The 18157-nt window shown below is 59.0% G+C and overlaps 2 protein-coding genes across 57 annotated transcripts in view, besides 9 other annotated features; both read right to left on the reverse strand.

Annotated features, from left to right (window-relative positions):
- On the reverse strand, positions 3699–14925 carry INPP5E (inositol polyphosphate-5-phosphatase E). 5 transcript variants are annotated; one of them, XM_047423603.1, is made up of 10 exons: positions 13688–14925; positions 9820–9943; positions 9117–9214; positions 8235–8359; positions 8036–8155; positions 7559–7663; positions 6904–7065; positions 6082–6197; positions 5357–5493; positions 3699–4840 (listed from the first exon to the last, which is right to left on the reverse strand). In XM_047423603.1, the coding sequence occupies exons 1-10, from the start codon at positions 14497–14499 to the stop codon at positions 4834–4836; spliced, it is 1806 nt and encodes a 601-aa protein (XP_047279559.1). In that variant the 5' UTR covers positions 14500–14925; the 3' UTR covers positions 3699–4833. The 5 variants fall into 5 exon arrangements, 4 of the variants coding, with proteins under 4 accessions (XP_047279559.1, NP_001305431.1, XP_016870415.1 ...); NM_001318502.2 differs by having other exon boundaries at positions 3699–4887; XM_017014926.2 differs by having other exon boundaries at positions 7559–7666.
- Positions 11084–11592: an enhancer, noted in NCBI's record as "H3K4me1 hESC enhancer chr9:139330456-139330964 (GRCh37/hg19 assembly coordinates)". NCBI's record gives its function as "activates a minimal SCP1, AML or CMV promoter by ChIP-STARR-seq in naive H9 embryonic stem cells {active_cell/tissue: H9 hESC(naive)}" and the evidence as "EXISTENCE:reporter gene assay evidence [ECO:0000049][PMID:30033119]".
- Positions 13129–13762: an enhancer, noted in NCBI's record as "H3K4me1 hESC enhancer chr9:139332501-139333134 (GRCh37/hg19 assembly coordinates)". NCBI's record gives its function as "activates a minimal SCP1, AML or CMV promoter by ChIP-STARR-seq in naive H9 embryonic stem cells {active_cell/tissue: H9 hESC(naive)}" and the evidence as "EXISTENCE:reporter gene assay evidence [ECO:0000049][PMID:30033119]".
- Positions 13129–15083: a biological region, named in NCBI's record as "hESC enhancers GRCh37_chr9:139332501-139333134 to GRCh37_chr9:139333770-139334403".
- Positions 13704–13813: an enhancer, noted in NCBI's record as "active region_29310". NCBI's record gives its function as "activates an Ori minimal core promoter by ATAC-STARR-seq in GM12878 lymphoblastoid cells {active_cell/tissue: GM12878}" and the evidence as "EXISTENCE:reporter gene assay evidence [ECO:0000049][PMID:35858748]".
- Positions 13763–14397: an enhancer, noted in NCBI's record as "H3K27ac-H3K4me1 hESC enhancer chr9:139333135-139333769 (GRCh37/hg19 assembly coordinates)". NCBI's record gives its function as "activates a minimal SCP1, AML or CMV promoter by ChIP-STARR-seq in naive H9 embryonic stem cells {active_cell/tissue: H9 hESC(naive)}" and the evidence as "EXISTENCE:reporter gene assay evidence [ECO:0000049][PMID:30033119]".
- Positions 14104–14593: a silencer, noted in NCBI's record as "silent region_20517". NCBI's record gives its function as "represses an Ori minimal core promoter by ATAC-STARR-seq in GM12878 lymphoblastoid cells {active_cell/tissue: GM12878}" and the evidence as "EXISTENCE:reporter gene assay evidence [ECO:0000049][PMID:35858748]".
- Positions 14398–15031: an enhancer, noted in NCBI's record as "H3K27ac hESC enhancer chr9:139333770-139334403 (GRCh37/hg19 assembly coordinates)". NCBI's record gives its function as "activates a minimal SCP1, AML or CMV promoter by ChIP-STARR-seq in naive H9 embryonic stem cells {active_cell/tissue: H9 hESC(naive)}" and the evidence as "EXISTENCE:reporter gene assay evidence [ECO:0000049][PMID:30033119]".
- Positions 14654–14833: a silencer, noted in NCBI's record as "silent region_20518". NCBI's record gives its function as "represses an Ori minimal core promoter by ATAC-STARR-seq in GM12878 lymphoblastoid cells {active_cell/tissue: GM12878}" and the evidence as "EXISTENCE:reporter gene assay evidence [ECO:0000049][PMID:35858748]".
- Positions 14884–15083: a silencer, noted in NCBI's record as "silent region_20519". NCBI's record gives its function as "represses an Ori minimal core promoter by ATAC-STARR-seq in GM12878 lymphoblastoid cells {active_cell/tissue: GM12878}" and the evidence as "EXISTENCE:reporter gene assay evidence [ECO:0000049][PMID:35858748]".
- The window catches only part of SEC16A (SEC16 homolog A, endoplasmic reticulum export factor), a 44636-nt gene continuing 41663 nt past the window's right edge, over positions 15185–18157 (reverse strand). For 41 of the 52 annotated variants that reach the window (XM_047424252.1, XM_047424250.1, XM_047424248.1 and 38 more), the window contains one exon: positions 15185–16903. In XM_047424252.1, coding sequence (XP_047280208.1) covers positions 16835–16903 — 69 coding nt within the window. In that variant the 3' untranslated portion in view covers positions 15185–16834. Of the gene's footprint in view, positions 17319–18157 lie in introns of all 52 variants that reach the window. The other 11 variants (XM_047424246.1, XM_047424241.1, XM_047424237.1 and 8 more) reach the window with 1 other exon arrangement.

Here is an 18157-nt window from a genome sequence, read left to right on the forward strand (position 1 = left end):
CTGTTAGAAACATCCTAGTGTTAACCACACCTGGGACAGAAGCTCCCGGCAGCACGCAGCCCCTGATGTTCAGCTGCACAGTGAACGCAGAGCTCCGGCGCCACACGCGTCAGGCCTGGGGTTGAGCTTCTGAAGATTCCGGTGAAGCACAGTCCTGCTCCACCTACCGAGTAGCCCGAGGACATTCTAGAAACTGCTACCAATTAGCCCTCGGTGTCTGTGGTTTGGAAGCCGAGGCCAACAAAGGTTCTCTCCATTCCCTGCCACATAGCTGGCTCTCCCTCGCTGCCTCCTCTCTAACCAAAGGTCGCACACCCGCCCTCCCTGCCACACTCCTCCCCACTTCGCTTTTTTTTTTTTCCCTTTCTTTTTTTGAGATGGAGTTTCGCTCTTGTTGCCCAGGCTGGAGTGCAATGGCGCGATCTCGGCTCACCGCAACCTCTGCCTCCTGGGTTCAAGCGAGTCTCCTGCCTCAGCCTCCTGAGTAGCTGGGATTACAGGCATGGGCCACCACGCCAGCTCATTTTGTATTCTTAGTAAAGACGGGGTTTCACCATGTTGGTCAGGCTGGTCTCAAACTCCTGACCTCAGGTGATGCACCCGCCTTGGCCTCCCAAAGTGCTGGGATGACAGGCATGAGTCACTGCGCCCAGCCCCACTTCACTTCTTTGGAACTAAGGTGCACTTGAATTTGTTTATAGTCGGCTGCCTTTTTAAGATGGTCACCTCCCCCAAGCAGGCTATTTGGCTCATTCCAGTGTCCCTGCTGGTGGCTAGACCGTCTGGCCTGGAGCAGAGCTAGGAAAGTACTTGCTGAACAAAAGACAAGCAAAGCATGCTTGAGAGAATGAGAGCTGAATTTTTTTTTTTTTTTTTTTGAGATGGGGTCTTGCTCTGTCGTGCAGGCTGGAGTGCAGTGGTGCAGTCTCGGCTCACTGCAAGCTCCATCTCCGGGGTTCACACCATTCTCCTGCCTCAGCCTCCCAAATAGCTGGGATTCTAGGCAACTGCCACCACGCCCGGCTAATTTTTGTATTTTTAGTAGAGACAAGGTTTCACCATGTTAGCCAGGATGGTCTCCAACTCCCAACTTCAGATGATCCGCCTGCCTCGGCCTCCCAAAGTGCTGGGATTACAGGCGTGAGCCACTGTGCCTGGCCCCGAGAGCTGTATTTTTGAAACCACCCTCACACAGTCGTATTTCACAGATTCTTTTCTTTATTTTTTTGAGATGGAGTTTCATTCTTGTTGCCCAGGCTGGAGTGCAATGGCACGACCTCGGCTCACTGCAACGTCCGCCTCCTGGGTTCAACAGATTCTCTTGCTTCAGCCTCCCAAGTAGCTGGGATTACAGACACCCGCCACCACACCTGGCTAATTTTTTGTATTGTTAGTAGAGACGGGGTTTCACCATTTTGATCAGGCTGGTGGTGAACTCCTGACCAGCCGCCTAGGCCTCAGGTGATCCACCCACCTGGGCCTCCCAAAGTGCTGGGATTACAGGCGTGAGCCACCGCACCTGGCCACGTTTTTTTTTTCTTTTGCCAAATTTAGCACTGGAGGATAGGATACCAAAGTTGACACTAATATTAGGTTCTAAGAACCCACTACTATCGAGCCAGCTTTTTTTTTTTTTTTTTTGAGATGAGGTCTGGCTCTGTCGCCCAGGCTAGCCCTGGAGTACAGTGATGCAAGCACAGCTCACGGTAGCCTTAACCACTGGGGCTCAGCGGATCCTCCCACCTCAGCCTCCTGAATAGCTGGGACTATAGGCGTGCTCATTGCTGTTTTAGAGGTGTGGTCTCACTAGGTTGCCCAGGCTGGTCTCGAACTCCTGGCTTCAAGCAGTCCTCCTGCCTCAGCTTCCCAAAGTGCTGGGATTATAGATGTGAGCCACTGTGCCTGGCCGTATTTAACAATTCTTTTATTTTCCAGAGATTGGCCAACATCATTTGCATTCATTTAAACTCCTTTCTGAGTGAAATTCCATTAATCTAAGATCTAGCGGTGAGTGCCAAGGGAATCACCTGACTTTCGATCCATGATCTTACTAGACACGTCATATCCTGCCCTCCCCACCGCCGCCGCCGGAAGACTTGGAGCCTCTTACTGTCAAGCCACGTGAACACACTCCAGGGTCGGACCAGAATCTCTTTAACAATTGTTTGGGTCGGAGAAGAGGCCTAGGAAGAAGCCATAAAAGCGGACTCATTTGAAGCCCCATTACCATAAACATCTTGGTACAGATTTTCAATGAATTAATTTGAAACTTAGGGCACATTTGTTCAGGCAAAGTCTTTTTTTTTTTGGAGACGAGTCTCACTCTTGCCCAGGCTGGAGTGCAATTGTGCAATCTTGGCTCTCTACAACCTCCACCTCCCGGGTTCAAGCAATTCTCCTACCTCAGCCTCCTGAGTGGCTGGGACTACAGGCGCACACCACCACACCCGGCTAATTGTTTGTGTTTTAGTACAGACAGGGTTTCACTGTGTTATCCAGGCTGGTCTCGAACTCCTGAGCTCAGGCAATCTGCCCTCCTCAGCCTCTCAAAGTGCTAGAATTACACCCAGCCCAAAATGTTACACACGCCACACCCAGCCCAAAATGTTATACATACAGGACATCAGACTAGTTGACTGAAATTAGATGAGATTGGCTGTGCCCTCTCATTAATGGAATTTCTATCGACGACTTTTTTTTTTTTTTTTTTTTTAAGGAGTCTCGCTCTGTCGCCCAGGCTGGGATGCAGTGGCACGATCTTGGATCTTGGCTCACTACAACCTCCGCCTCCCAGGTTCAAGCAATTCTCCTGCCTCAGCCTCCCAAGTAGCTGGGACAACAGACACCCGGCTAATTTTTGTATTTTTAGTAGAGATGGGGGGGGGGGGGCGTGGTCTCACCATTTGGCCAGGCTGGTCTTGAACTCCTGACCTTGTGATCTGCCCACCTGGGCCTCCGAAAGTGCTGGGATTACAAGCATGAGCCACCACGCCTGGCCCAAGAGACTCATTTTTATCAAGAGACTGGGTGTTTGTTTCCCTACTTTTTAAGATGCTGCTAATAAAAGTTTTCTATTATTCACTGAATTGTTGATAACCAGCGTGGTTCATCAGGTCTCAAGTATTTGTGTTTTCCTCAAAAGACTCTTTTCCATCTAACGCTGATCTCTTGGGCAGTGAACTAGGAATGCAGGATTTTATGTATTTATTTATTTTGAGATGGAGTCTTGCTCTGCTGCCCAGGCTGGAGTGCAGTGGCGCAATCTCGGCTCACTGCAACCTTTGCCTCCTGGGTTCAAGTGATTCTCCTGCCTCAGCCTCCCCAGTAGCTGGGATTACAGGCGCCCGCCACCACACCCGGCTAATTTTTGTAATTTTAGTAGAGATGCAGGGGTGGTCGCACCATGTTGGCCAGGCTGGTCTCGAACTCCTGACCTTGTGATTTGCCCACCACTCAGATGATCCATCTGCCTCAGCCTCCCAAAGTGCTGGGATTATAGGAGTGAGCCACCGCACCCAGCCGAATGTAGGATTTTAAAGATAGCAGAGATGAACCGGACAAGATCATAGTCAGCTGTTGAGGGTTGAGACCAAACTTTTTGCCTGTGGATTTTACAGCCTTTCAAACAAGGACATTGTGAGAACGGGATATGCATGTATATTGTTGCTTCCAGGTTTCAGTCTTTGGCCAGAAAGAGATTTTAAGACTCAATATATGCATTTATTTAAAAATATAAATATGGAAAAATAATTTAAAAGACTAGATTGAATGTCCCTAGATTTTCACACATTCAAAGACTACATTTTTTCAAGAGATGGAATGGGACACAAAGCAAGAATGAACGGTTCTATACTCTCGAAGAAAGAAACCCGGGACATGGTGGGGATCCCTGGCCTAGGTGTTCAAGGTGGTGGCATCCTGAACTTCCAGCAGTTCCCTAGCCCGGTTCCACTAATGTCATTCCGCGGCTGGAGTTAAAGAAGCAAACGGTCTACGTCACCAAGACCATGAGACGGTTTCAAAAATGGTCTACGTCACCAAGACCATGAGATGGTTTCACACAATAGGCTTGGCCTATGAGAGGAGGGGAAGCAGCTTCTTACTCAGCTGGGGAGGCCCTTATACTGGGGTGCAGGCCTCCTCGCCCCATGGCAGGCGACTTGCAGCCAAGTGGAGGGGAACCGTGCCACGTCCTGGAGGCTGTGTGGCTTCCTCAGCTGGGCTCTGGGGCCCACTCAGAGGTCTGAGGCCCCAGGGGTCACCTAGCCCAGATCCAGCCTTGCTCTGGATACCCGTGTGACATGGGGTGGTGTGTGTTTGAGGGGCTGCCAGGAGGACACAGATGGACGCCTGCTTCGGGTGTGGAGGGAGAGGCTGGTGCAGAGCACGGGGGTGTTGGGGGGCTCTGTGACTGCCCCCAGGGCACAGGAGCTGCTCAGGAACGGATTCTGACGTCTGCCCCCGAGAGTGGCTGGGGTCCGTGGTGCTGCTGGGCGGGTCCAAACCCTGCCACCCATGCTGTATGGACCTGCCATGGAGACGGGGGTCCAAGCCCTGCCCACCCACACCGTGTGGACCTGCCACAGAGGACAGGCTCGCTCAGGGTTGGCTTCCTTCCTGGGACGCTGGCACAGAGGCACGGTCGCCACAGTCCCTCGGATCCCCGAAAGGCGGCAAACTCTTTGTCCTTCCCAGTGGGTTTTGATCAATACAATCACCCCACGTTGCAGCTGTGAGTCCTCGTTCAGCAAACTTCAAGAAACGGAGCAGATGGTGCTGGAGTTCTGACTCTGTAGTGCTTGCTGCCTCTGAATCTCCTTCGAAATCCGTCTTTTAATTCCTAGTAAGTACAGTTCTCTATCAAATTTGCCAGCTGCCAACGGAATGCTGTGGAGGAGGAGGGGGCGTTAGGAGGGCACCCAGGGCCAGGAGGAGGGGGCGTTAGGAGGGGGCCGGCCCCGGAGGAGGGGGCATTTAAGAGGACACCCAGGGCCAGGATGAGGGGCTGTTAGGTGGGCACTGGCCCAGATTGGCCCTGCCTCTAAGCACACGGAGGCCTGTTCCTGGGACAGAGCCGCAGGAAGGACAGGGCGGATGCCTGAGTGCTTAAGGCCTTCGTCCCTCCAGCTGGCCACACCCAGCCCCCCAGCTGGGCCTCTCTTCACTTTCCAGAGCCTCTCCCCTTCCTGCCTTCTCCTGCTCCAGGATGAGTCCAACCGATCCCGGGGAACACAGCCCTGAAGGTCCCAGAACAAAGCCCCAAGTGGAACCCCACGATGACAGGGACCCTCTTAGCTCATGGGACGACGGCACGACCCCCAGGCCCAAGGGGGAAGGTGAGCGGGAGAACACTGACTTGTCTCGCCCCGGCCTCACTTTCACCCGGAAGAGGCCATACACAGGGCGGTGGTCGGACGTCTTGATCCCGGGGCAGGAAGAGTAGCTCACAGGACAGATGTCACCCTTGTGGCGGCTTCTGTACAAGACGCGGTCCTTTGGGAAGATTGCAGAGGCAGGAGGTCCAGTTACTTGTGAGGAGCCGTGGGGCGTGGCCCGCTCACCTCCCTGCTGTTCTCAAGCGCCCCCCACAAGGAAGCCTTCTGGGACCCCTGACACTCATGCCCATTTTGTTGCCTGGCGTCTGTGGCCAGCTGGGCCAGGGCCTGTCCCTCGCCGCTGGAGAGACCCTGTGGACAGCGGCTGCTCCTACCCTGCCCTGCCTCAGTGGCTTCTTGAGGCTTCCAGCAGATATCCAGATATCGGGACATGCCCAGAGATGCAGCCATGGGCCTGGCAGGAGGGTGAGCGAGGGTGCAACGGGCAGAGGGCAGAGGCTCTGCAGGCCGGAGGCGAGGGCATGGCTGGTGCCCTGTGTGCCAGCCGGCTCACCCAGCCTTGAAAACACCCATGGAGAGGGCGCCGTTCTCCACCAAAGGGGACTTGCCACAAGGCCAAGGTGCAGAGCTGAGTTTCAAGTCCAGGCCGTCCAGGCTCAGACCCCTGACGCCAGGCATCGGTTCCCGGCTGTGGGAGATGCCTGCCCTGGAAGCACTCTGCACCGCAGCGGTGGGCAGGCCTCACCGTGTATGAGGGCGTCCTCTGCTTGGAGGTGCTGTCGTACGTGTCCTTCCCGATGTCAAACTTGTATGATGGGAGGAAGTGGATGTCCGGCTCCTGGAAGCCCTTGAAGATGGACCCTGCCACAGGATGGGCACTCGGACTGGCTCAGACCAGCTTGTGCCAGCCGCCGCACCCCAGGCCCTCACCTCTCCTCATCTCCCACCACGCCCACCCTCCCCCCACCCGCCGCAGGCCCTCACCTTTCCTCATCTCCCGCCACGCCCGCCCCCCCAGGCCCTCACCTCTCCTCATCTCCCTCCACGCCCGCCCCCCAGGCCCTCACCTCTCCTCATCTCCCTCCACGCCCGCCCCCCAGGCCCTCACCTCTCCTCATCTCCCTCCACGCCCGCCCCCCCAGGCCCTCACCTCTCCTCATCTCCCTCCACGCCCGCCCCCCCAGGCCCTCACCTCTCCTCATCTCCCTCCACGCCCGCCCCCCAGGCCCTCACCTTTCCTCATCTCCCTCCACGCCCGCCCCCCCAGGCCCTCACCTTTCCTCATCTCCCGCCACGCCCGCCCCCCCAGGCCCTCACCTTTCCTCATCTCCCTCCACGCCCGCCCCCCCAGGCCCTCACCTCTCCTCATCTCCCTCCACGCCCGCCCCCCCAGGCCCTCACCTCTCCTCATCTCCCTCCACGCCCGCCCCCCAGGCCCTCACCTTTCCTCATCTCCCTCCACGCCCGCCCCCCAGGCCCTCACCTCTCCTCATCTCCCTCCACGCCCGCCCCCCCAGGCCCTCACCTCTCCTCATCTCCCTCCATGCCCGCCCCCCCAGGCCCTCACCTTTCCGCATCTCCCGGATGAGCTGGTCGTGCTGCAGCAGCGCCGGCACGTCCACCACCAGGCCCTGGCACAGGAGGGCGTCCACGACTGTGCGCCCGCCACTCAGGCGGAAGTTGAAGTCTCCAAACCAGAACACCTCATCGAAGCGGGTGGTGACGTCCGCTGCGGCACAGTGGGCCATGTGTGGGCACAGGCAGAGGGACGGCAGGTCCTTCCCCTTCCCCAGAACATGGCCTGGGAGTGGCTCTCAGGGGAAGTGGGTCTTGGGCGCCAGCCGGTGGGGCCGGGCCCTCAGGGGTGGGATTCGCACTGGGACAGTTCCAGAAGGCACCTGGAGCAGCCTCAGGAGCAGACGATGCCCATGGCAGGCGATGGCCACGTCCCTGCTCCTCTCCACACAGCCAGGGGAGGCGGCGGGGCGGGCAGTGGCGAGGACCAGGACCCAGGCTAGTGGGCCACGCCGAGTGGACAGGATCCGCCCACCCCACTAACCGTGCTAAAGAACCGCGAGGGGCCATGCGCTGGGGGCACTGGACGTTTCGGCCCTCGCTTCCCAAAGCTCAGGACGCTGCCTCTTCAGAACTGCCCTAAAAACGACGGGCGCCCGTGTGCGAACCACGGCGGCACCACCCACACGCAGCGTGGACGCCCTCACCTGCGCTGGAGCGATAGGGGTTGGTGTCGGGCACATTTCTGGGCAGGACCAGGGCTTGTACAGTCCTGGTGTAGTCCAGCAGCCGCTCCGCCACCTTCCCGTCACCTGCTGTGGGAACAGAAATGGGGTAGGGACCACAGGGTTCCGGATGCTCGAGTCTCCCTAAAGCGCCGCACCTCTGGACTGTGCCCTGACTGCGCACCCCCGGCAGACGCAACCCCACCGGGCATCCGCTGCCGGGCCCAGCCAGTGACATTTCCGCCTCGGAGGACAGAGCACGGGCCCAGCACGGCACGCCCTCGGTGCCGGGGTCTGCCGGGGGTCCTTGGCGTGCATCTTAGCAAGCGTGGTGCCCACCCCACGGCCCTGGGTGGAAGATGAAGCCAGCGGTCAGGACCCCTGCCTTGGACAGGGTCCCGGTCAGGAGAGGAAGCTGTTCTCACACAGCACCTGCGGTGCGGGCACCAAGCAACTTACAGGTGAAGTGGGACGTGATGAAGAGGAAGGAAGTGCCAAAAAAGGTGAAGCTGATGCCCAAGGCCCCCTTGGTCTTGATCTGAGACACGATGCGTGTGGTCACCGTGGAGCACTCCACCTCTGTGGGAGGGGCAGCCCTCAGCTCACCTGTGGGACGCTGCCACCTTCCAGCCGCGCCCACCCCTCCAGCCGCGCCCACCTGAGCAGAACCAGATGAGGTCCCTGCGGATGAAGAGCGACATGTAGAGCACGCCGTGGGCCGCCGAGGACAGCAGCACATAGTGCGGGCCCAGCGTCTCCTGCAGACGAGTCTCCCACTCCCGCCTGCAGAGGAGGAAGCACGGCCGGCTGGGGGACATGGCCTCCCAGCTCCGCCACCCCCAGACCTGCTGCCCAGAGCCCCTCGAGGAGCTACCAGGGAAACCCCACGACCTGGCCTTGGTGTCTTGCGCGGAGAAGCAATTGCCAGAAGGCCTGGTGGGCCAGAGTTGGGACCTGCCGGGGGCCACAGGCCCCAGTTCCACTTGAGTGGCTCCCCTGGACCCCCGCCGAGACCCCAGTGAGCAGAGCTCCTCCCGCCTGAGGGACTCATGGGCCAGGGAGGTGGGGCCCACCTCAACTCCTTCCCCCAGAGCACCTGTGTGGGCGGCAGCCACCTGCTGTTCCCGCCATGACATGGGGGCCCGGGAGGCCTTGGGGCCCGGCCCTGCTCCGGCTGCCCTTCTACTCTCGCACGCCAACAGTTTGTTACCAAAATCAAATCTCATTGATTTTAAACTCTCCGAGTTGCCACTGGAAAAAAATCTGACCCATGCCTCCCACCCAGGCGTGGAGGCTGCCCGTGCCCGGCCGCCACCCGGGTCTCAGCGCCCAGCAGCTTCAGAGACGGCAGCCCCCGGGCAGGCACTGCAGATCTGTGCCCGGCCACGAACCGGGTATCAGCGCCCAGCAGCTTCACAGATGGCAGCCCCCGGGCAGGCACTGCAGACCCGTGCCCAGCCATGACCACAGGTCTCAGCACCCAGCTGCTTCAGAGACGGCAGCCCCTGGGCAGGCACTGCAGGGCCTGCAGCCGCCCTACCTGTCAGAACAGCCCTCCTGGACCCCGATGACATACAGGTCCTGGGCATAGTCGGCCTCGGCTGGGAGCAGGAACTCGTCCAGGCTGGGCGGGAGCTCCTGGAAGGAGGGAGCATGTGGTGGGCCGGCTCCTCCCGAAACCTGCAGGCGCCTGTGGGTGAATCCCACTGCGGTGCCTTGAGTACCAGCGACTCCTCCGAATGAGGGGAAACTGAGGCCAGGGCCAAAAAGGGAGCTGCCCGGTCTCCGAGGCAGCCTCTGACACACCAAACACGCCTCACGTTGGCCCTCGGCCTGTTTCCCTCTCCAAGCACGAGTCTGTCCAACGACCACCCCTGTATGACCCTCCCGTCACCATGACCCCAGCCCGTGCTGCCCACCCTGTCCCTGAGCCACCCCTACGCGTGCCCCGCTGGCCGCCCTCCCGCTCACCTTGAGCAGGTGATTCTCGGCCAGGCCCGTTGCCCCAACCCCCTCCCCTACTTTCTGCAGCCACGTGGCCAGGGAGGTGCAGGTGGGAGCTCTGGGGGATGGGGGTCCTTACCCACTCTCACCCTCCTGTACTGCGGTTAGCAGTGGGGTGCACCTCGGGGCTCTGCCCTCCTGGCCCCAGGATGAGGCACAGAGCTGCCCCGTCCCCCTCACCCGCCTTTGTCCAGCACCACCCCACCCTTCCCCGCCCAGCACCACCCACAGCCACTCACCTTCTGGCCCTGCATGTTCCAGGTGGCCACGAAGAGTGCCACGTTCCGGTCTGGGAAGTAGCGGGCCAGCTCATCCGCCCCCAACAGGGCCCCGCTGGCCAGGAGGCTGCCCTCCAGGTAACTCCTGTGACGGGAGGACCCCAAGCTCAGGGCCAGGCACAGGACACATCCCTGGGGGTCTGGGCCAGGTCCCCAGGGACAATAGCAAAACCCATGGAATGTCAGGAGCTGCCCCCAGCCCCAAGCAAGGACTCTCCTGGCCCCCGCGGCACTGCTGTCTGCTCTCCAGGAACACAAGGCCTGACCTGGTTGCACAAACACCCAGAGCGGGTTCACACCCCCTCCCTACCTCCCGGGAAGAGGCATGAGAGGGTGACGGTTTGGGCTTTTTGGTGGTGGGATCCTGGAAAAGCCACAGAGAGGAGCTCCCAAACTATAAGCCAAGGCAGTGGGCACAGGGTGCTGTTCGGGGAGGGGCTGGTCCTCCTCCTTTCTCCTTTGGCCCCAGCACCAGGCAGGACGGTCTAAGATACAGAGACCACACGAGCCACACGGAAACGCGTCCATCTCCTCGACACCCCGTGGCTTTGACGCACTTTTGGGTTTGCTTGTTTTGGTTTCTAGTGGGGACAGGGTCTCACTCCGTGCCCAGGCTGGAGTGCAGTGGCACTAACACAGCTCCCTGCAGCCTCTACCTCCCGGGCTCAAGTGATCCTCCTGCCTCAGCCTCCCGAGTAGCTGGGACTCCAGGTGCAGTGCCACCACGCCCGGCTAGTTATTTATTTATTTTTTATTTTTGTAGAAACAGGGTCTCGCCACGTTGTCCAGGCTGATGCTTTCAGATTTTAATACGGCGGTGCACACAGATGGTTAAACACCGTGTGGCACAGCAACGTCCCTGCCCCTCCCCACACTCAGCACCTTCTGCCACGAGGGCTGGTAACCCGTCAAGAGGCAACCGCACACGCCTGCCGCTCCGTGGGACATCCAGTGTCTGTCGCCGTGGGCTCTGCTACGGTGGTGCAAGAGCCACCAGGGGATGTGGACACAAGGGGTGCAGCCGTGTGCCCGAGACGCTTGATTTACAGACACTGAAATCTGAATTTTACAATTTTCTTGTACTATGAAACATCATTAGAATGGTTTTGACTTTTTCCAACCATTTGGAAATGTAAAACCCGTTCTCAGCTCGCCGACTATACAGAAACGCCGTGGGCTAGGCTTGCCAGCCGTCCTCCCCGCTCCCTCTCTAAGTAACACTTGTGCGGCTCCTTCTGGATACGCCGTCTTCTGACATGGTTCCCTTCCGCAAGGGGACACGAGAGCATAGTGCCGGATTCCTGTGACCTCCCGCGAGAACTTCTTCAACCCTGGCTGCGGCTCACCAAGCTTCACTGGACACGTTAAATCATGTCAGCAGGGAGGAACCTCGCTACCTCACCCCTAAAACTGTCGACAATCCCGGTCGGGACAGCTGTGTTCACACAGTGGTCATTCGGGACAGAGAGCGTTCCTGTGGGCACCCCTGTCAAGTGATCCCGGGCCCAGCAGGGGCTCCTCGGTCACCAGGCTGGAGGCCCACGGCCCCTTTGCCGGCAGCGCCCATCATGTCCACACCAGCAGCCACGTGGTCAGTCTGCCCAGCTCTGTCCAGAGCATGGTTAGTAACAGCAGGCCAGGGGCGGCCCTCACAGCCATTCCTGTGTCTAGACACGGGCAGGGGCAGAGCTGCCTCGGACCCCCATCCAGGGCCAGGACACTGCACAGCTTCTGCATGAGGACGCTCAGGCTGGCTGCCACAGCCTGGGCCAGCTCTCCGAGCAAAAGGAACGGGTGGGGAAAGGCCCCCTAACCCGCCCTGGCAGCCCCAAGGCACTGGCAAAAGCCAGCAGCCATTCTCAAACAGGGCGGACCCAGCCCGTGCACACGCGGCCCGCAAACTCAGAATGGGTTTTACTGTGTGGAACGGCAGAGAAAGAAAAAAGAGCGAGGTTCCAATGTATGTCCCTAATAGACTCACTGGCACACAGACGCCCTTTGGTCCCCACTGTCTGTGTCTCCCCCTTGACAGAAAGAGTGCGCCGACTCCTATTCTAGAACAGACCGGAGGTCTGGAAATGGGAAGCTGTTAGGCAGCAGAACTGGGTTAAAGGATCCACGTCAACCCTCGTTTCCTGGTTGTTTGAAAACAATGACTTGAGGGTCCAAATTTGAGACACGACTGTCCTTTTCTCTAACAGGTGTATCTACGTCAACCGGATCTAATTTTAAAATGTGATGCTTTAGATGCACTAAGAAATCTCACTCTTTACGAGAAGCCCTGCAGTGAATTATTTTAACAAAAGCAGCAGTCTTGCCCTGGATGTGATCGCACCTGCTCCATCCATGACAGGAGGAGAGTATGGTGGGGGCGCCAGGCACGGGCCCTCACTCCAGGCCTGAGCCCACCTGCCTGCTGGTGCACCACAGACGCGGGGAAGTGAGGCTACCTTCGGGGACTGTGGTGAGCTGAACAGTGATCCCCAAAGCCATGTCCACTCCCAGAGCCCCAGAACCTTGGAATGGGACCTTATTCGGAAACGGGGTCTTTGCAAACGTGTTTAATTAAGGATCTCGAGATAAGACCACCCTGGATTTAGGGTAGGCAGTAAATTCAATGACTGGTGTCCTTATAAAAAGAGAGGGGAACACAGAGAGACAGGGAAGAGGCCACATAAAGACAGAGGCAGAGACTGGAGCATGCGGCCACAAGCCAAGGAACAAGTGGGGCCCCAGGAGCGGGAGGCAGCGGGAGGACCCTCCCCTGAGCCTCTGGAGAGAGGCTGCGTGGCCACACCTTGATTTTAGACTTCTGGCCTCTAGAACTGGGAGAGAGTCCAGCTCTGCTGTTGCAAGCCTCCCAGTCTGTGGTCATGAGTTACAACGGCCCCAGGACACCAACACAGAAACCACCTCACACCTCTCCCTTCTCACACCTGTCCTGCCTCCCGCCGCGGCTGACAGACAAGACTTGGGCACCATGGCAGTGGGGTGGGGGGAGGAAAAGAAGGGTGCAGGTGACTCTGCCAAGTCATAGTGGGAGCATCTCAGGACAGGCCCCCAGACTGAGACCCCAAGACAAGACCAGGCTTGGGAGAGGTCATGGGTTCAGCTGCAGTTCCTTCCAGCAACAGCTGGAGCCCACCAAAATGTTCCTCATGAGCAAGTGGCTAAACGAAAGTAGCCTCAACACATCTGGGGCCTCTTGCCGCAGAAAAAAACAAAGGGGGCAGGCCGGGCGCAGTGGCCCACGCCGGGAATCCCAGCACTTTGGGAGGCCGAGGCCAGGAGTTCGAGACCAGCCTCGCCAACACGGCGAAACCCCGCCCCTACTAAAAATACAAAATTTAGCTGGGTGTGGTGGCGGGCGCCTGTAATCCCAGATTCTCAGGAGGCTGCGGCAGGAGGATCCCTTGAACCCAGGAGGCAGAGGTTGCAGTGAGCCGGGATCGCGCCGCTGCACTCCAGCCTGGGCGACAGAGAGAGTAACAAACAAAAACAACCAAAGGGGCGGATCGTATACATTGACGACATTTCCCAAGACTAAACAAGAAAAAGCGCCAGATACGTAATTGTATGCAGGATGCCATCCTGTCTACCTTAACACAACGTCACGCCCACGAATGGTTCTGAAACGCACAGGAAAAGTTCTGGGAAGGGCGCTGCTGTGGGGTGGGGCTGGGAGATGGGGTGGCTGCGGGAGACCCGCTTCGTTCTTTCCGGTTAGGCATCTTAAACGCTGCTGATGGGAACGGTCTCACGAGGTTCCAGCAGCCTGAACACTACAACGAAGGCGGCGCGGGCGCTGCACCCGCCAGGCCCTCCCTACCTGCTGCGGACGTCCTTGCTGCGGATGGGCGCCAGGAGGCTGAAGGAGGATTTGGCCGAGCGAAGGGAACAGTCGTCGCAGGCCAGGGGGCTCCGCGGCCGGCCGGGGCCCAGGCTGCTGTGGGCCCGCACCAGGAGCGGCTGCGCGCGGAGCTTGTAGTCTGCAAGATCCGAGTCGACCTTGTTTGCTGTCCTCAGGGAGTCGGAGGCGATGTCCAGGCTCAGGGCAGGCGGTGGGCGCGGGGGCAGCAGGCTGGGCAGCCTGGGCGAGCTCCCCGCCACGGCGGCGTCTCTGTGCGGGAGGTTCGGGGAGCTGCTGGCCACCCCAGAGAGAGGGTTACCCCCCGAGGACGGGCTCCCTCTCTCACTGCTCAGGACCCCGCGGGACTTGGGGATTTCCTGCAAGGAGGTGCTCAGGCAGGGCGGGGAGCAGCTGTGGGCGGGGGCCCCGGGGCCCTCGCTCTGCACTGAGCCCCTGGAGGGACTGGTCCCATTCCGGGCTTCCAGGTCCTCCTGGCTGCCTCGAAAACGCCTCCTCCTCCAGCCCTTGTCGTCCAGGGACAGGGCTCGCTCCAGTCGAGGCCTGGCGGGGGGCCGCGGGGCGATGGGTGCTGCTCGGGCTGGCGGGTCCTCGCCGCTGGGCGTGGCCGGAGTGCTGCAGGCAAGCGCGGGGCTCTCGGAGCCCGGAGCATCGGGTGGGGACCCCGCGCGCTGGGCCGGCGGAGCGCCGGGAAGCTGTCCTTGGAGCGTCCTCCCTTCCGGCGGCTGCGGGGCCGGCTCGGAGGGCCGCAGATTCTCCGCCTTGGACGGCATGGACGGTCTCTCCCGGGGCAGGCCTCGGCGCGAGGCCGCAGGCAGCGCGAGGGGTCACGGGTGCCGGGTCCGGGGTCGCCGGCGCAGCGAGGAGCAGAAACGCCGCTGCGGCTCCCGCTTGGGCCGGGGATGGTCGCGGAGGGGCGGGGGCGGCTGCCGCATGGCCCGGGCCCCGAGTCCCGCCAGCCCCTCGGGGCTCCCAGACGCCGTTCCCAGGGCGGTCCGCAGGCAAGGCCTGGGGGAACAGGCGGCTGGGCGCCTGTCGCGGGGGAGGTTCGACCCCGACGGGGACGCCGCTCGGGGAGAGGGGTGGGAAGCGGGCACCCCTGGCTGGGCTCGCAGACTCCGAAGTCGACCCGGTACTCGCGGAGGCCCGGCCGCCCAGAAGCGGAGTCAGCCCGGCCGGGACCCAGCAACCGCCGCCGCGGGGCCGCGCCCGGTCCCCGCCCCGCGCCCCGGCCCCGCCCACAGCGGCCCCTGGCGGCCGGAGGACTGCGCCGCACCGGACCCGGACGGGTCTCCCACGCCCCTCCCAACCCGGCAGCCCCGCAGTCCGGCAGGTCCCAGCGAGGCAGGTGCAGGTCCCCGGAGAGGACCTGGGTGCGGTCCAGGACAGCGCCGAGGCCTGCGGACACCTGCACTCACTCGCTTCCAGCAAACCAAAGGGAACCACAGGTGAAGGTGCTTGAAGGAGCGCAAAATATTTTATTCAACAATTTGCAATGTAACAATTCTCATTTAGGAAAAATAGCCGCTCCCGCCTGGAGGAAGCTTCTTGAATCAAAAGTCGTGGCAGTCGACCCCAGAACAGCGGGCAGAGCCGACCGGAAGAGGTCCCAGGATTCACACGAGCTGACCGAGGGACAGAGAGGGCTGCCCCGTCACAGGGACTGGCCTTTCTCCAAGTGACAAGGACAAATGGATCCAGCGGGACACGCCTGTGGAACATTTTGGAAAACATCCTGGGTGGTCTGGGCTAAATGATCAAGTGAAACAGAAAGCCAGGAAGGATCTGTGCTAATTCCACATTCTACAATTTCTACACTTAAATTTAAAACACCAAACAGTTTGTATTCCTCCAGCAGAACCTACAGAAATTATCTACTGATTTTTATTAGTATTTAAATCTTTTCTTCAGTCTCTTTAGACTTGACAAGAATACGAAGAGTTTCAGAACAGTCAGAGAAGCCTTAAAGCTTTGCATCAGTGAGAGGAGGCCCGTCTCTGAGTTGAACAGGGTTGAGTCCACCAGGAGCTACTCAAAGTCTCAGTGTGGCAAAACTCGGGGCAGAAATACTAAGTTCCAGAGCTGCTGTCAAGAAACTGTGTTAAGATACTCTCCCCAAGTGCTACCAACCTCTGAACCAACGTCCCCCAGGGGAGAAAGTGGGTCATGTGGATTGTACCACGAAAAGTGCTCACGGAAAGTGCAGCCTTTTAGAGAAGTGCATCCAGCTTCCTTAACAGTGAGTCTAACCGTGCTCCTACACACGAAATGAAGCCCAAATCAAACATCACACGGTCAGTTTTCAACCTGGATGACCACCCTGAGCCATCATGTCAGACAGCCGGCTCTCTGGGGCTCCTTCCCAGTGACTGGGCCACACGGTGGGCAGTCCCCAGCGCTTTGGGTACACAAAATCACCCATGGTCCTCATCAGGCCACAGAAAGTAAAGTGAGGCTGGAAGCGTCTTTGCAACAGGAAAGAAATTCACTGCAGTAACTAAGGCCTCTCTCAAAAACCGTGAACTAATGCCGAAGGAACCCCACGGCTCCTCGGAGGCGCTGATTGAGAACACAGCGCCCTCCACTCATTCAGCCAGGTTCAAACACGGCGAGGGCCCAGATGGTGCAGAGCAGGGGTTGGGGTCTGCCTCAGTCACCCTCTCTTTGCTCCCAGCACCTTAAAGGAAGCGCGGGACTCACTGGGCAGTGACTCACAGCTGGGCTTGGAGAGGCCCTGGTTACTACCGACCATGTGGCTCTCCTGTGGCAGAGACAGCTCCGGCTTCAATGAATGAACATTCTTAAATGACCAGGAATACTATATCCTTAAATCATCCTAAATGACTAAGAAAGTCACATCATTCTTTTCGGCAAACAATTCTGAGTCAAAGATTCAGTCTTTCCATCCAGAATCTGAAAGGATGGTGGAATTAATTTTCAAAATAATTCATTACGATGGGCGGTGAGGAGGGAGGCACAGTGTGCGACCAGCTCTGAGTCACTGCTGTGTCTCCCTGGGGGCGGGACGGAGATCGCGGAGGTCGGTCGGGTTCTTCGGGGAGAACAGCAGCGTCAGGGCTCCAAGTGCAAGTTCACAGCAGGGCAAGCCTAGTTCAGCACCAGGTGCTTCCTCTGGCCAATCCTCCCTAGCCTTGAGCTCCCGGAGGTGGCGCAGGCCTGGAATGAAATCAACAGCATGACCTCTGCATGCCTGCCCCCAGGGTGAGCAGTGCTCGGCTGCAGCGTGGCAGGGGCTGGTCCACATAATGAACCACACGGGCCATTGGCGCTGACAAGCTGAAGGCTTCGTTTTTGTTTCCAAAAGCCTCTGGAAACCGACAAGTCAGTGCCAAGTCCTGGGCTCCCTTGAAAGCACTGTATCCTTAACCATCAATGTTTACTGTGAGGGTGGCCAGGAGGTGCCGTGGTTTCATCAGGGCCATGAGACCTGGAGCTGCTCTGCAGAGCCAGCCTGGCTGTCCAGAGTCCAGGGACAAGTGGTGGCCAGGCCTGGCCTACTGCATGGGACGCGGGGACCTCAGTTGCAGACAGCTGGCCAATGCAGGCATCCACTCTTGCTCCCTCGCAAAGCCTCATGGAGGGGAAAGCCAAGGAATTTTTGTAAAGGCACTAACCACATGGTAAAGGGAGCAGGACAATACCAAAATCGACTAGTCTGGATGCTGAAAAGCAGGTGACAGCCAGGGGCCAGCTTGGGGGCAGTGGTCCTGGGAGCCTCGGCCTCGTTTGTAGAGGACCAGGGCAGGAGTGCTGGGCCCCAGCCCAGGAAGCCTGCAGTCAAGAGTGTGTGAGGCTGTGAGGGCAGGCTGGGGTGACAATGGGGCTGAATCCCAAGAGGCCCCAGACCTTGGACCCCGCTCAGCTCCCCTACACTGGCAGCCAGTCTATACTCCACAGGCAAGGGAGAGGGGAGGAGAGACGAGGCTGAGGGAGGGAAACCACAGGAAACATTCTAGAACACTCCCCAGCTGAAGGGCATGCAGTCAGGCCCAAGGGGGCTGAGGGTGAAGCCCTCCAGGTCCCAGGGAAACGGACCCTGAAAGGGGCTGCAGGCAGAACGGCCCTGGGGTCTCAGCAACCACAGGCAGCAGGAAACCTAAGGCCACTTGCAGTTCTGAAGAAAGTGACTTTGGCCCAAGAATTCTACCAGCCAGCCAGATAGGCCGGAGGAGAAAGGCAGCTCCAGACGTGAAAGGCATCTCCCAAGTCACCCTGGGACCTTTCTGTCAAGAAGCTATTAGGAAAAAGAAATAAAAAACATACAAAAAAAGCAAGAGCTACCAGAGGATGTGTGTCACCAAGACAAACAGAGTAACTAAGAAAGGCAGCAACATAGGATTCCAAAGCTGGGGGACCCACTCCGGGGAGACCCGGGTGCCCGGGCCAAGGGAGGAGAGATCACGCTCGGCT

This window comes from Homo sapiens, chromosome 9 (assembly GCF_000001405.40).
Source record: "Homo sapiens chromosome 9, GRCh38.p14 Primary Assembly".
In the NCBI taxonomy this organism is placed as follows: domain Eukaryota; kingdom Metazoa; phylum Chordata; class Mammalia; order Primates; family Hominidae; genus Homo; species Homo sapiens.